The sequence below is a fragment of the Homo sapiens genome, chromosome 9, assembly GCF_000001405.40.
Source record: "Homo sapiens chromosome 9, GRCh38.p14 Primary Assembly".
Lineage (NCBI taxonomy): Eukaryota > Metazoa > Chordata > Mammalia > Primates > Hominidae > Homo > Homo sapiens.
The window spans coordinates 116,624,562-116,640,618 of NC_000009.12; the positions used below are offsets into that span (position 1 = coordinate 116,624,562).

The 16,057-nt window shown below is 40.2% G+C and overlaps 1 protein-coding gene and 1 long non-coding RNA gene across 9 annotated transcripts in view; one reads left to right on the forward strand and one right to left on the reverse strand.

Annotated features, from left to right (window-relative positions):
* ASTN2 (astrotactin 2) overlaps positions 1 to 16,057 on the reverse strand; it is a 991,946-nt gene that overhangs the window by 201,450 nt on the left and 774,439 nt on the right. The gene's annotated exons all lie outside the window — the stretch shown is intronic.
* LOC105376240 (uncharacterized) overlaps positions 1 to 16,057 on the forward strand; it is a 46,451-nt gene that overhangs the window by 26,715 nt on the left and 3,679 nt on the right. Inside the window, exon 2 of the long non-coding RNA XR_930277.3 lies at positions 2,806 to 2,982. This is a non-coding gene — a long non-coding RNA (uncharacterized LOC105376240). The remainder of the gene's footprint in view (positions 1 to 2,805; positions 2,983 to 16,057) is intronic.

Here is a 16,057-nt window from a genome sequence, read left to right on the forward strand (position 1 = left end):
AGGTAAACACCCTCTACTTAAGATATTTAGAAACATCTACACAGAATGTCACTAAGCCCATGAATTAAATTCCACACTCTATACTTCAAATGACTGTAATTTTTACACTAAAAAATATTTTCATGTGCTAATACCAAGTCAGTTATTTTTGATACTAAGATGGTTCTGGTCTGTATGACTCCAAAAAGATGCTCTGAAGTCCTTATTAATGCCTAATGGATTTCATCTCCACGGTATTAACAAACTTGGTCATATGGCTGCTCAACCCATAACAAATGAAGCGGGAAAAGGCTTTCTAGAGAAAAAAAAAAAATCTATTATCTTTTTACCCACTGGCTCCATTTTAGGGCCAAACACAGTATCTAGCATTTAACATAAGGCAGTCAATGTTTGTTGAATTAAAAGTTCACATGGAATGCTGAATAAAACAAACCAAATAAATGATAAAAGCAAAGAAAATGTGTGTGCATGTTTGTGATCCTCTTCTTCCCCAGGATTACTTGTATCTCCCATGTCAGTTTGGTGCTTCTAGCCAAAAAGTGGTGGTCAACCCTCTACCTTATAAGGCATCTCAAAACCAACCTCCCAGCTGGGCACAGTGGCTCACACCTGTAATCCCAGCACTTTGGAAGGCCGAGGCGGGTGGATCACGAGGTCAGGAGTTCGAGACCAGCCTGGCCAACATGGTGGAACCCCATCTCTACTCTACTAAAAATACAAAACTTAGTCAGGTGTGGTGGTGGGTGCCTGTAATCACAGTTACTCGGGAGGCTGAGGAAGGAGAATAGCTTGAACCCGGGAGGTGGAGGTTGCAGTGAGCTGAGATTGCGCTACTGCACTCCAGCCTGGGCGACAGCAAGACTCCATCTTGGAAAAAATAAAGAAACCCTCCCCACTCTGGCCCCATTGCTGTCTCCCTGGTGCCGCCCATTCTATAGGCACTTGCCGTGGCCTTTGGACTAGTCTCCCCACTCTCATGTTGCCTTCTCCAGCATGTCCTCTCACAGCTTTCTAAAACACCTCTTGCTTGGAGCCTTTTGAATGTTCCACACTTTCTGGTTAAAGCCTCCACTGATTCAACCTCCTTTGTTCTTCAGCTTATGACTCTTCTCCCATCTCAACCCCCCTGCACCCCTCTCTGTGATCTAGCACATGCCAACTTCTTACAGTAGTGCATGCACTATTTCATACCCACAAGCCTTTTCTCATGCTGTGCCTTTGGTCTGAAGTGCCCTTTTTCCACTTCTTCCTCCTTACTGAACTCTAGGAAGGAGGTGTGGACCCTGCCACACCTTGAGAGATTTTGTCCCTCTCTCCTCTCATTCAATTTTTACAAATTTCACATTTCCTTGAAACTTGCTTATTTGTGTGTCCTCGCCTATCAAACTGTGAACTTCTCCATGGCAAGGTCATAAATTTGTGTTTTTTGTTTTTTTGAGACAGAGTCTCCCTTTGTTGCCCAGGCTAGAGTGCGGTGGCACAATATTGGCTCACGGCAATCTCTGCCTCCTGGGTTCAAGAGATTCTCCTGCCTCAGCCTCCTGAGTAGCTGGGATTGCAGGCATGTACCACCATGCCTGGTTAGTTTTTGTGTTTTTTTTTTTTTTTTTTTTTTTTTTTTTTTGGTAGAGACACTGTTTCATCATGTTGACTAGGCTGGTCTCGAAATCCTGATCTCAAGTGATCTGCCTGCCTCAGCCTCTCAAAGTGCTGGGATTATAGGCATAAGCCACTGCACCCAGCCAAGGTCATAAATTTGATTCATCTCTGTGTCCCTACCTTCAAGAAAAATAGTGAACAAATAGGGCCCCAAAAATATGTTTTAAATATGTTATAAACATACTTATATTTAAATATGTTTTAAATATAAAATAGGATGTTCTGCCAAGGATTAAACTTGTGTACTTGATATTATTGTGTTCTTCTAACAAAAGAGATGACAGAAATGCATCTCTTTTGGTCACCATAAAAAGCCTAAATTACCTTGAAGCCATTGAAAGGAAATTGGGGTGGGCTATGGAGGTAGAGTCCCTTTTGGAGACAATTGTGATCACAGCTTGGAGGACAGTGGGGTTGATACCTTTTTTGTCCAGAAGTTTTTGAAGATATAAAATAAGAAGCTTCTAAGGCCTAGAAAGATGGGAGGTGAAGAGATAGTGGTTGACATCCCAACTTTATGGGGAAACATATATTGTAAGCATGGTGCGCCCATGCTGACAATATGTGTAGTTGATCAGGACGGAATTGATGAACACAGGAAGGATTGAAGAGGTTATCATAGCAGTGCTGCAAAAAAAAGCAGAAATAGAGGTTTCTAACCCAGCCTGGAACTCTGGATAGGATCTACCTGGGCCATCTGCCATCCGTCATCAGCATATCTCCTCATAATTGCTGCAGAAGATTCCAATTACCCATTTCCCTGGTAGCCATAGGAGATAGGGCACAGGGGCTGGAGGCCCCATTCCTTAGGAATGAAACAAGACATGCCCATCTAACCTGACAGTGAGAAGGTGATTAATTGGTCATTCTTTTACAAATCAAAGAATGTAGAATTAAGTAGCATGTGTAAAAACACATAAAGGGAGAAAAGTAGGTAGTGTTAGTTGACTTAAATCTTCTTATTCCCAAACAAGACAGGAAGGCAAGTGAGATGAGTCATGTCAAAAATTGCCTGGAAAAGGTAGCAACTAGGGAGTAGCCGAGCAATGGGAAGTAGAAACCTTAAACTACATATATATCCCAGAAGCTAGAGGGCTCTGAAGTGCATACAAGCATATTCATTGGCACGGATTCTTGGCATTTCAGATCCAGAAGGGTCCTGAGACATGAAGCTGGTCCTCACAACTCTGCACAGACTAGGAGGCCCAAAGAAGAGAAACATTCACTACACCAAGTTGCCTGCATTTGGTCCTGGGTTCAAGCCACCAACTTCTGTCATTTTAGTAGAAAACAAGCATAACAACAGCATTTACTGACAGGGTGGTAAGCACTTTAATATACATTATATCATTTAATCATGTCAGCCTTATGTAGTAGTTTTGCTGTTCCTAGCCCCATTTTATAGATTAGGAAACTGAGGTCTGAAGGGTAAAATAGCCTGTTCAAGGTCACTCGCTAAAATGTAGTAGAACCAGGACTTGAACTCAAGCCATCTAATCCTGAAGCCCATGCTGTCAGCCACTACAACCATAAGCAATGTTCTCACTGAAGTAGAGAATATTAATAATTACGTGATATTTATTGAGTACTTACTACAAGCCAGGCACTGTTCTAGGTTCTTTTTATGTATTACTCCTCACAATACCCTAGGTACTTTAGACATATTAACTCATTAAATTTTCCCAACAACCTGTGAGCTAGGTGTAGTTATTATATCCAATTTGCATTTGTTTCCAAGGTCACAGAGCTGGTAAGTGGTAGAGCCAGGCTTTGAATTCAGGACATTTGGCTTAAACCAGGAAATCTATGCTTTGAAATATAAAGCCTCCATATAAAAGACAATCCATTTATTAAAAATGTTATTCACACCCCTGAGTCCACCCACCTTTAGCAGATATTGGGATTTTTCACTGTACAAATGAGAATGGACCAATGAAAATATCATATGAAATTGCAATTTTGTAAGTCAAATGTCAGCAATATCATATAGTTCAATGTAATAGAAGCCACAAGTGTGAACAAAATCACACAGAAAAAGTACAGAGCATGAAAAGAGTAAAGAGACAAAGATAAGAGAATCCAAGGGAACTCCAACATTTTCTAATTTACTGTGTGACCTCAGTAAGTCTCTTCCCCTCCTTGGGTCTTTCTTCAAGTTGGACATTCAAATCACTGCATTGCTATTTCTGATCACTTTCTCACTTATGCTAAGATTTAGCTGTTTCTCAAAACTGGCCATAATTTCCCCATCCCCTTTAGAACTTCCCATCCTAGATATACTGACTAGAATTGACTGCCAGCAGGCTAACCTATGGAGACAGTAAAAGGATCCGTGGTTTCCAGAGGTTAGGGAGAAGTGAAGGATGAATAAGCAGAGCACAAAGGACTTACAGGGCAGTGAAAATACTCTGTGTGATAAGATACTGGTGTATACATGGAATTATACATTTGTAAAAACCCACAGAAAATACAACATCAAAAGGGAACCCTCTTATAAACTATGCACTTTGGGTACTAACGATGTGTCAATGCAGGTTCACTGATTGTGGCAAATGTACCACTCTGGTGGAGATGTTAATAGTGGGGGAGGCTATGTGTATATGGGGTAGAGGGTATATGGGAATTCTCTGCTCACTTTGGCTGAGAACATAAAACTACTCTAGAGAAAGTCTATTTGACTTCCTGCCAGCTGGCATCCTCTCCGCAGAGGTCACACAGATGACGAGCATACCATTAACAGTTTTTGAAGAAAGAGAGGAGTGGGATGAAGAGAACAGACACCTATTAAGCATTTCTTTATTCTGTGCCTAGTGCTAGGGCATCTCCCTGTTAGTTCCTATTATCCTCCCAACAATTTGCGGAGGCAGCAGCTTTTACTGTTTCCAGTAACTCTTTTTTTTTTTTTTTTTTTTTTTGAGACGGAGTCTCGCTCTGTTGCCCAGGCTGGAGTGCAGTGGCGCAATCTCAGCTCACTGCAAACTCCACCTCCCGGGTTCACGCCATTCTCCTGCCTCAGCCTCTGGAGTAGCTGGGACTCCAGGCGCCTGCCACCATGCCCGGCTAATTTTTTGCATTTTTGGTAGAGATGGGGTTTCACTGTGTTAGCCAGGATGGTCTTGAGCTTCTGACCTCATGATCCACCTGCCTTGGCCTCCCAAAGTGCTGGGATTACAGGCGTGAGCCACCGCGCCCGGCCTGTTTCCAGTAATTCTTACAGATGAGCAAGTGAAAGGTCAGAGAAGATACTGGATCAAGGCCAACCAGACAACACAGTAGGGCAGAGGGTCTATTTTGGACTCAACTTCAAATCCCAAGCAGTGCCCCCTGAACTTCTTCAACCCATCTCTTATTTTCAGCCTCAGATCCCCCCATACAGTGAAAAAAATACTAACTGGCAAGGACCCAATTCCTATATAAGAAATCGTGCAGCTCAATCTATTGCTCTATAAATCACAGAAACGACACCTAATTTCCCCTGTCAGGATAAGCTTCACTTTTCAAGCCATTCTCCTCTGAATGATGAGAGCCCGACAGAACAGCTCCTTAATCTGGGTGACAGGAAGAAGACATTTAGAACCAGCCAAACCCCCCTATTGCCACACTTACCTCTGCTAATGAAAAAATATTAGAGAAATAAATATACAACCCACTGAGATGCTTGTGCACAAGGCTCTGTCAGCTGTCTGTTTCTCAAGATGTACACAGACAAGATGATAGGATTATATGATCCTCAGGCAAGGAGTAATTTTTCTTGTCAGTTAGTCCCATATTTCAGCTCCCATCTATCTCACATAGAAGATGAAGTACTATGTTTTAATGCATTAAAAATAACAGTGAGCATTTTTTGAAGACTTTTCTATTCCAAACACAGTGCTCAGTGAGAAATGACATGCAGGGATTCATTTAATTTGTAGAGCAACACCATGAATTTGATAATCCTATTGGTGTCACTATATAGAGGATGAGACTGAGGCCCCAGAGAGTTTGGGTTCCTTTCCTAAGTTACATAGCCAGTATATAGCAGAACAAAACTCAGACCCACGTTTCTCAAATTCCAAAGCCTAAATGCTTAACCTCCATGGGTCACTTTCATCTCCATAAACAGCCTGTATATTAGGTTGTATTGTTTCCATGCAACCCTTGAAAAAGTTGAAATTTTTTAAAGTTTGATGCTCCTGTGATCAGGTGATTTCATCAATGTCACAAATCTAGGAATTAGGACTCAAACACAGGTCTCAACCTAAAGACTGAATCCTCTTCTCCAAACTGGTCATTTTTCCTAAATACTAAGGGCAGGTAGCACATGACAAATTCTTAGGAGGAGTGAGGGGGACCAGTTAACCTTGTCTTGGTCAGTCCCAAGTCCTTCTTTGCGACAACCAAATAATGACTTAATAAAAAAAAATAGATTCATGTTGGTCTGGGCAATACTTTTTTGAATGAGACCTCAAAAGCACAGGCAATAAAAGCAAAAATAGACAAATAGGATTACATCAAATTAAAAATCTTCCTTTGTTGACTGCAAAGGAAACAGTCAATAGAGGGAAAAGACAAAGTACAGAATGAGAGAAAATACTTGTAAATTATGGCTCTGACAAAGGGTTAATATCCAGAATATATAATAGCAAAAAAATCCCAAAACAGAAAACATATAATCCAATTTAAAAATGGGCAAGAGAGCTGAATAGACAGTCCTCAAAAAAGATATAAAAGTGGCCAAGTATATGAAAAAAATGCTTAACATCACTAATTATCAGGGAAATGCAAATCAAAACCACAATGAGATATCATCTCACTCCAATTTGGACAGTTATTACAAAAAAGACAAAAAATAACAAATGCTGACATAAATGGTCAGAGAGGGGAACTCTTACACACTGTTGGTGGGAATATAAATTAGTACAGCTATCATAGAAAACAGTATGAGAATTCCTCTAAAAATTAAAAATAAAACTACCATATAATCCAATAATCTCACTACTGGGCATATATACAAAGGAAATAAAATCAGTATGCTAAAGAGATATCTGCACTTTCAGCCTGTGTCCTGTTTATTGCAGTACTGTTAACAATAACCAAGATATGGACTCAACCTAAGTGTCCATAAATAAATGCATGGATAAAGAAAATGTGATGTATATATACAATGGAGCATTATTCAACCATCAAAAGAATAAAATTCTGTCATTTACAGCCACAGGAATAGAACTGGAGGTAATTATGTTATATGAAATAAGCCAGCTACAGAAAGAAAAATACTACTTGTTCTCATTCATATGTGGAAGCTGAAAAAGTGGATCTCATGGAGGTGGAGAGATGATTGGTAGTTACCAGAGCCTAGGAAGGGTAAGAGAGAGAGAGGGGGATGAAAACAGGCTGGTTAACAGATACAAAAATACAGTTAGTTAGAATGAATAAGATCTGGTGTTCAATAGTACAGTAGGATGACTATAGTTAACAATAATGTATTGTATTCAAAATAGCTGGAAGAGAAGAATTAGAATGTTCCCAATGTAAAAAAGGAAAAAAGATAAATGTTTTGGATGATGGATATCCGAGTTACCCTGATTTGATAATTATACATTGCATGCATGTATCAAAATATCACATGTAGGCCGGGCGTGGTGGCTCACGCTTGTAATCCCAACACTTTGGGATGCCGAGGCAGGCGGATCACAAGGTCAAGAGATGGAGACCATCCTGGCCAACATAGTGAAACCCCGTCTCTACTAAAAACACAAAAATTAGCTGGGCGTTGTGGCACACACCTGTAGTGCCAGCTACTCGGGAGGCTGAGGCAGGAGAGTCGCTTGAACCCAGGAGGTGGAGGTTGCAGTGAGCTGAGATTGTGCCACTGCCCTCCACACTGGTGATAGAGTGAGACTGTGTCAAAAGAAAAAGAAAAAGAAGAGAGAGAGAGAGAGAGAGAGAGAGAGACAGAGAGAGAGAGAGAGAGAGAGAGAGGGAGAGAGAGAGAAAGAAAGAAAAGAAAGAAAGAAAGAAAGAAAGAAAGAAAGAAAGAAAGAAAGAAGGAAAGAAAGAAAGAAAGAAAGAAAGAAAGAAAGATCACAAGTACCCCCAAAATATGTACAACTATTATGTATCAATAATAATAAAAAAAAAAGACCTGTAATCTCAGCACTTTAAGAGGATTGCTTGAGGCCAGGAATTTGAGACCAGCCTGGCCAATATAGTGAGACCTCATCTCTATTCTGTATTTCTAAAAAGAAAAACAATAAAACAACTAAAAATAATTTTGACTAAGAAAAATACAACCATTTTTCTTAGCCTGGCACACACAGCCTTTCACAAAGTGATGTCAAACAACCTCTCAGCCTCATATCCCACCGCCATAGCCTGTCCCAGTCCTACATACCAGCTACATTGAACCCTTTGTCATGGACCAGGGAGGCAACAAACTTTTATGTCACTGTATCTTTGTACATGGGTTCCCCCAGCCTATAATGCCTTTATTCTATCTTTAATCAAATTGTACTCATTCTTTAAGACCCACTGCAACTTCAGTCTTCTTTGAAAACCCTTCCTTGATTTCCCAGCAGAATTCAAAAGCCCTTACTGCACCTTTGACAACATATCTGTTAGTGGACTTACCACATTTTATGGAATTGTTATCTATATGTCTGTCCTCCCTACTGGACTATGAGTTATTTGCCTTATTTTATCAGAAATTCCTTGCACAAGGCATGACCCAAAGTAGGTACTCCATAAAAGTTTGTTGTATGAACGCCTGTTGTATGAATGAATAATAAAGTCTGAGGAAAGAAGACTGGGAGCTGTTTGGGTGTGTGATCTATGTGATCTTAGTAGACCTGCTCAGTCATCGGGGCAATAGATTGTGCTTACATTGTTCTAAACTATCTCCAAATCATTTGTCCTGCCTGTCACTAAGCTGAGAGCAATTGTGAAAGTGATGAATAGCAGACCAATTATGAGCAATAGGAAACATCGGTTATAACTCTAGGGAGAAGACATAGCCATATCAGTAGCCTCATCCATCTAATCATGAGTCATCTTCCCAAGGCATCTTGCTCTGTGACCTTGAATTGTCAAGGGTTTGTTAATCTTACACAAATTTAAGTTCTTCAGAGGATGGTTCCCCTTTTCAGCCTGTGTCCTACAAGGCGTTGCTCCTGGACTGCCCAGTCCTGGAAGGGGAAACCTGGCTGGAACTCACATACTTTTCCTAAGGGAAACCTTTAGCTGAGGATTCCAGTCCCACCCAAGAGACAAGACCTGTCTTCTAAGCCTGCTGTCCTTTGATAGATAGAAACTCGTCTTTCCTGTGGTGAGAACATCTGGAGATGAGAGGCGGGTTGGAAAGTTTCAAGTGAAGGATTTGTCCAAGACTGTGGAGTTTGCATCTCTAAATGCTAGCTTAAGTTAATGGCAAGTTCCTAAATAAAGAATTACACAATTTCTCTTCTGTGGCCACTGATGATTTCATTTTTCCAGTACGCCCATTGTCCCTAAGGAGGTATCTGAGGGAGGAAGCCTCTCCTGCTGGTGGGGCTTCTATGGGACTATGAGTGGGGGCAGGAAAATAAAGGTCACAGGACAGGAGGGGACATGCTTAGTCTAGCTAGACTCATTCTGAGTTTACCTTGGCCTTTGATAGGGAGCCTTTTAAATTTGGCTGAGGAAGCTTGGAAGTGGTAGATTCTTATCAGCTTTAAGGTAGTCATATTTCTATCATGGCAAGTGGATTCTGAAAAGTCTAGATCATTTAACCCAGGAAAGGATGTTACACGTGACGGAGGGATGGTAGAACATTGAGGTTAGGAGCATGGTCACTGGAACCAGACTCCTGGGTTCAAATTCCAGTGCTATCACTAAGCAAACTGACAGAATCATCTTCAACTCTCTATGCTTCACTTTCTGCCTGTATAAAATGGGTATATACTAAGATCTACCTCAATTAGAAATGTACAAGGATCATGTATAAAGTGCCTAAAATAATGTCAGATCTATATAAATATCCACATATACTTGATAATTAAACAAATATTGACTAGGTCCTGAACTTGGGTATTCTCTAGATGAAAGAAAGTAACTTAATAAGCAAAATAGGGCCGGGCGCGGTGGCTCACGCCTGTAATCCCAGCACTTTGGGAGGCCGAGGCGGGCGGATCACGAGGTCAGGAGATCGAGACCATCCTGGCTAACACGGTGAAACCCCGTCTCTACTAAAAATACAAAAAATTAGCCGGGCGTGGTAGCGGGCGCCTGTAGTCCCAGCTACTCGGAAGGCTGAGGCAGGAGAATGGCGTGAACCCGGGAGGCGGAGCTTGCAGTGAGCCGAGATCGCGCCACTGCACCCCAGCCTGGGCGACAGAGCGAGACTCCGTCTCAAAAAAAAAAAAAAAAAAAAAAAAAAATAAGCAAAATAATTTTTTAACAGCTGTTAGACATGCTTATTTACAGACAAAAGAAACTCAAGGCACATCTACACTCACTTGGAATTATTTTTATTCTTTGTAATATTTTCTATTGAGAAAACAATATGGCACTGGAACAAGCTATCAGAGATACTATCTTTGCCTTTGGGGAAGTAGGACTTTCCTTGTTTCTGTGAACTGATTGCCCTTTTAATTTTTGAATCAGTGGATCTCTAAGGGTAAGACAATTACTATTTTTTTTATGCCTACTCTGTGCTGGATGCTTTAATAAGAAGCAAGAGAAGAGGATTGGGGGAGAAAAAGAGAGAGAAGTGGGGGAAGACTAAGAAGAAAAAAAAGGAAGCAAGAGGAAGCTACAACTAATATTGATCAAGTGTTCAATCGTACTAGCTATTGCTAAATGCTTTACATGCATAGTCTTATTTAACAGTTAAATACTATTATTACCTCCACTGAGGTTATAAGTAATTAAATTATATCTCCATAGTATGTGGCAAAATGAGAGCTTAAACCTAAGTCTATCTGATTCAAGTACTGCCTTTTCTTTACATCCATCATCTTATATAACATTCAGAGCCACCCTATAAAGTGGGTGCTCATATTACTCCCATCTTACATCTAAGAAAACGGAGCTCAGGTAGGCTAAGTTGAATGTACAATGTCATCCAACAGGTAAGCATGAAATGTGAAATTTAAATGTAAATCTGGTTGACGGTTAAAACCATGGTTCTCTCTATGACATCTCACTAAAACCTCTAAAATATCAAAATCTCACTGGTAAGTCTGTTCACCTTGAATGTAATTAATGCTCTCCTGATACATAAAAAATAAGCAAATAAATCTATCTATATTTATACCTATATCTATAAACCTATATATTATCTATACCTATATATTCTCCAGCTCTATTCAAAATGAGTACCTGCACATATGAGAAAAAATCACCAGGGAAGCACTGTAGAGGGATGAGAAGAGCTTCACTAACATGTACTACCCTACCTCAAGCACCTGCTACGTTATACTTCAATTGCCTGGTGTTCCCTCTGATTTTTGGAAGACAAGCAATAATTTCTGAAAAAGCTCCAGGTTGGAGCAAGCTGAAGTTGAAGAAGCCAAGCCCAAAAGCCCAAGCTCTTTTGATAGTGGATGTAGGATCTCTGAAAAGGCATTAAGAAAAGGGCTTTGAATTGAGCTAATAGATGGTTTTCATTGAGTTTTGAGACAAAAACTTTGATTAGATGGTGGAGCAAAACCCAGTTTCCAAGGGGCTGAGAAATAAGAAGTGAGAACGGAGCAAGAAGTTTTATGGTCAAAGAAAGATGAAGTGGAAAATGATAGAAGAAACTCTAGAATCCAAGAAAGGCTATCTGATGATAGAACAGGCTTGCCCATGCCAAACTGTAGTGGAAAAAGCCAGTAATGACAAAGGCTCTATTCTTTGCATGCTGAGACCACAAGCTATGGAACCAGACAAACAAGGGTTTAAATCTTAGCTCCATAACCTACTGCTATGTAATACTGATACTTCTCCTTCTGAGCGTCAGTCTCCTTTAGCCACTCAAAAGTTATGTTTTGAATACCTACTATGTATATGGCACTAAATATAGAAGCTATTGTGACCCAGGATAAGTCTAAAAGTCTGGAAGCAAGATACTTGATTTCTATCCTTAACTCTAAGGCAACGGAAATAGCCTCTGTGCTTTCTAACTTCTTTCTTCATAAATCACATACCATACATTAAGATGTACTTAGACTTGCTGGGTGCAGTGGCTCATGCCTGTAATCCCAGCACTTTGAGAGGCTGATGCAGGTGGATCACCTGAGGTCAGGAGTCCTAGACTAGCCTGGCCAACATGGTGAAACCCCATCTCTATTAAAAATACAAATATTAGCCAGATGTGGTGGTGGGTACCTGTAATCCCAGCTCCCAGCTACTTGGGAGGCTGAGGCAGGAAAATCGTTTGAACCCGGGAGGTGGAGGTTGCAGTGAGCTGAGATTGCACACTCCAGCCTGGGCGACAGAGTGAGACTTCATCTCAAAGAAAAAAAAAAGAAAGAAAGAAAAAGATGTACTTAGACATACTGCAGTTATTTCAGAGCCCTATAATCAGTATGGCCTGGATAAGACTGAGTTGGCTGTGGATTACATCATGATCTCTCCCCGAAAATTCATGTTGAATCTTAATCCTCAATGCAACAGTATTAAGAGGAGTGGTCTTTGGGAGGTTATTAAGTCATGAGGGCTCTACCTTTATAAATGGGAGTATTATCTTTATAAAAGGGCTCAAGGTTAAAGCAAGTGCTCTTTTGCCCTGCCCTTTGGTCCTTTCTGCCATGTTAAGGACACAGTGTTCCTCTCCTCCCAAGTATGCAGCACCAAGGTGCCATCTTGGAAGCAGAGAGCAACCCTCACCAAACACCAATCCTGCCAGCACCTTCATCTTGGACTTCCCAGCCTCCAGAACCATGAGGAAATAAAATTCCGTATAAATTACCCAGTATCAAGTATTTTGTTAGCAGAAATGGACTAAGGTAGAGTCTACATCAAGATTCAGACCCATGTGATGACAAACTGTTGAGGGAACTGGGAATGATTTCCAGGAGAGAAGAAAAAATCAACTGAGACCTAAAATATCTTCAAATACTTGAAAGACTGTCACTTAGAATTGGAGAGAGGATTAACTTTCACTGAGCTTTTTCTAGTGCAAGGCAGTGTTGCTAAGCACCTTACATGAACTATCTCTTAATTTGTGAAACAATTGTATAAGGTAGATATTATTAATCTCATTTTACCGATGGTAAAACAAAAGCTTACGAATTTAAGTAACATCCCAAAAGGCATACAGTATTTTTTTGAGACAAAAGTAGTATTTAAACCCTCATCTCTCGCTTTCAAAACATATGCTCTGTCTAGTAAATCAATAGCTAAAACCTGCTCAGTACAGTGTTGATAAACAGAATTAGAAACTACAAGGACAAGAAATGTATAGAAAAATACTTTGATTCAATATAAAGAAGGGGCTGGGTACGGTAGTACATGCCTGTAATCCCAGTACTTTTGGAGGACAAGGCTAGCAGATTACTTGTGCCCAGCTGTTCAAGACAAGCCTGGAAAACATGGCAAAACTCCCATTTCTACAAAAAATACAAAAATTATCCAAGCATGGTGGCATGTGCCTATAGTCCCAGCTACTTGAGAGGCTGAGGTTGGAGGATCGCTTGAGCCAGGGAGATCGAGGCTACAGTGAGCAATGATCGTGCCACTGCACTCCAGCCTGGGTGACAGAGTGAGACCTGGTCTCAAAAAAATACATACATACATAAAGAAGGATGTTCTAGTAGTGGTGGAACAGGATGCTTAGTAGGTCACTCAGCAAACCATTCCAGGAGAATTCAAAAAGAAGCTCTTGCAGGATATAGGAGAAAAGAATCAAGTAATACATACAGGTTGGCCTAGATGCCTGTATAAACCCTTCTATTTCTTTCTTCTCGTAGCCTCTGTTGTGATCAAAAAATAAAACAATGAAATGTAGAGAAGGAGGAATAAGAGGAAAAGCAGAAAGTAGCAAAAATATGATAAGTAAGAATTTGTCTTTACTCAGCACTTATTACGCACCAGCACAAAACTAAACATGTTAATACCCATCTCATGCAATACAGTATTCTCAGATATTAGGAATTATTAGTAAACTCTAGTTAGTAAACATAGGTGAGGGAATTAAGGCTCAAAGTCCATTGCCACAAGTAACTAACATAGGAGAGAGGCAACAACTAGGGCTTGATGAAAGATGTGACCAGATGAAAGACAATCTTTCAACTACTAGAGTAAAAAGCTCAAGTTTTTCTAATAGATCACCTTTGTCTACAGGTTTTTCAATATGGGCTGTGGGGAATTGCCAAAAAAAAAACCATCAAGCCCGATCAAGCCTCTAGACCTAACTACACAGTTACAAGAAATACAAGGCCAGATAAGGACATTAAATAACACCATGTGAATGCAATCAGCAAAATCCAGGTTGTGGGGAACTCTGCAGCACAAACAACCCAGTTTTATCCATAAAATATCCCAAGGAATAAAAAGAGAGATAGACAGGTTAGAAGAGACTCACTTATCAGCCAACTACAACATTTGGATCTTATTTAGTTTCTGATTTGAAAAAACAAACAAGTACCAAAGATATAAGACAATCCAGTAAACATGAACAATAATGGGATGTTTGATGATATAGAGAAATTATCGTTCATTTAGGAATCCTGGATAGGGCATTAAGGTTATCTTTTGAGTGTTTATGTTTAAGAGATAAGGATTTTAACATTTACACATGAAATTATCTCATGTTTGAGATGTGTTTCAAAATTACCAGGGCAGTGTAGAAGCAGATGTGAGAGGAGGTAACACAGGATTAATCACTACTAAAACTAGAAGATGATAGGTACATGGCAGTTCATTATTATATTCTCTCTACCTTTGTGTATGTTATGCTTTTCTGAACTAAGTTGATTTTGGAGTGGGTAGCAGATCCTGGGATTTAACAGTGCTCTCCCAAATGGGATAATTTGGAGATGAAGCTAAAAATGAAAAAGAAACACATGATCCAAGGAGAATCCACATTCTTTGTGGTCTTCCTCTCCTCTCAGGATATGAATTTATAGCCTGGAATCCTTTTGCTCAGAGATGCTAGGCATGATGTAACTCTGTCACCTAGAGAAGGCACTGCACAGACTGACCATCTGTGTAATGGTACAAACTCATGCTGCTTTCAACTGCATATGCCTGGTGAATTGTGAGACACATCTGGAATGACTTTTTTTTTCTTCTTAGATTAGGAAGAAATAGAAAGAGAGTTGGATTGTTTGTGAATTCTCTCCAGGCCCTTACCACCACTGTTGACTGAAGTTGCCTAATGACCTAAGAAGAGCTCCCTGTGAACAGGGTTAAGCTCCAAAAGGGATGGAGCCTGCAGCTTGCTCTTCCTGGAAGCCCAGCATTGCCCTGGCTGGGGCAGTCTTTGATGACACCCTCAGATAAATGATGGTGGTGTGATAAATAAGTAGACATTGGACAGCTGGAAAAAGGATTCCAGCCCTGGCTCTGATATTTGCTAGTCTTACAGGGCTTCAGATGATGGCTGGCTACACTCTCTGAGTCTCAAGTTTCCTTATCTAAAAAATGAAGATAAACAGTGCTACCTTCATGCTTCTATTGAAAGGAGCCAATGTATGTGAAAACACCATGAAAGAGTGTCAGTGCAAGCTGGTGACCTTTTTTTCACTCATTCATTCAATCATTTATTTTCTTTTTAAGTGTATTTATTGAATTTCTACTATGCATCAGGCACTTTACTATCAGCTGTCGGTATAAGGCTGACTAAAAGTTGGTGTAGTACCTGGTTTCATGAAGTTTACCTGCTAATGTATAGGAAAATATTTTGACTTAATATAAGAAAGGATGTTCTCTCGGTGAGGGAAACCAAATGCTTAGGTGTCACTGAGCAAGCCATTTGAAAACTGGGAATGTTCAGACACAGTCTCCACAACTTTTTGCAAGGTGCAAAAGAAAGGAATTGAGAAATAGACTAGGGTTGGGTTGGATGCTTCTATAATCCCTTCCATTTCTGAGTTTATCTGCTGTTTCTTCCTCATAAACTCTGTTATGACCATAAAATAAAATAATAAAATTTGGAAGAGGAGGAGACACAGGCATCAATCAGTTTCAAAAAATAAAAGTATAATTAGAAAGTGTGATAACTGTTATGGAAGAAAGACAAAGAGACCCAAGAAAGTAAGTGAAAAAATAAACAAGGAGGATCTTATCAAATCTGGAAACCTTGGCAATCTGATAAATCAGTAACAGTTCACTCAGTGGAAAGAAGGGGAAAAATACATTCCAACTACAGGGAATAGCCTGTGCAAAGTCTCTTTGGCAGGACAGAGCACAGTGTTTCCAAAAACTAGAAGAAGATCACTATGGCTGGAGCACA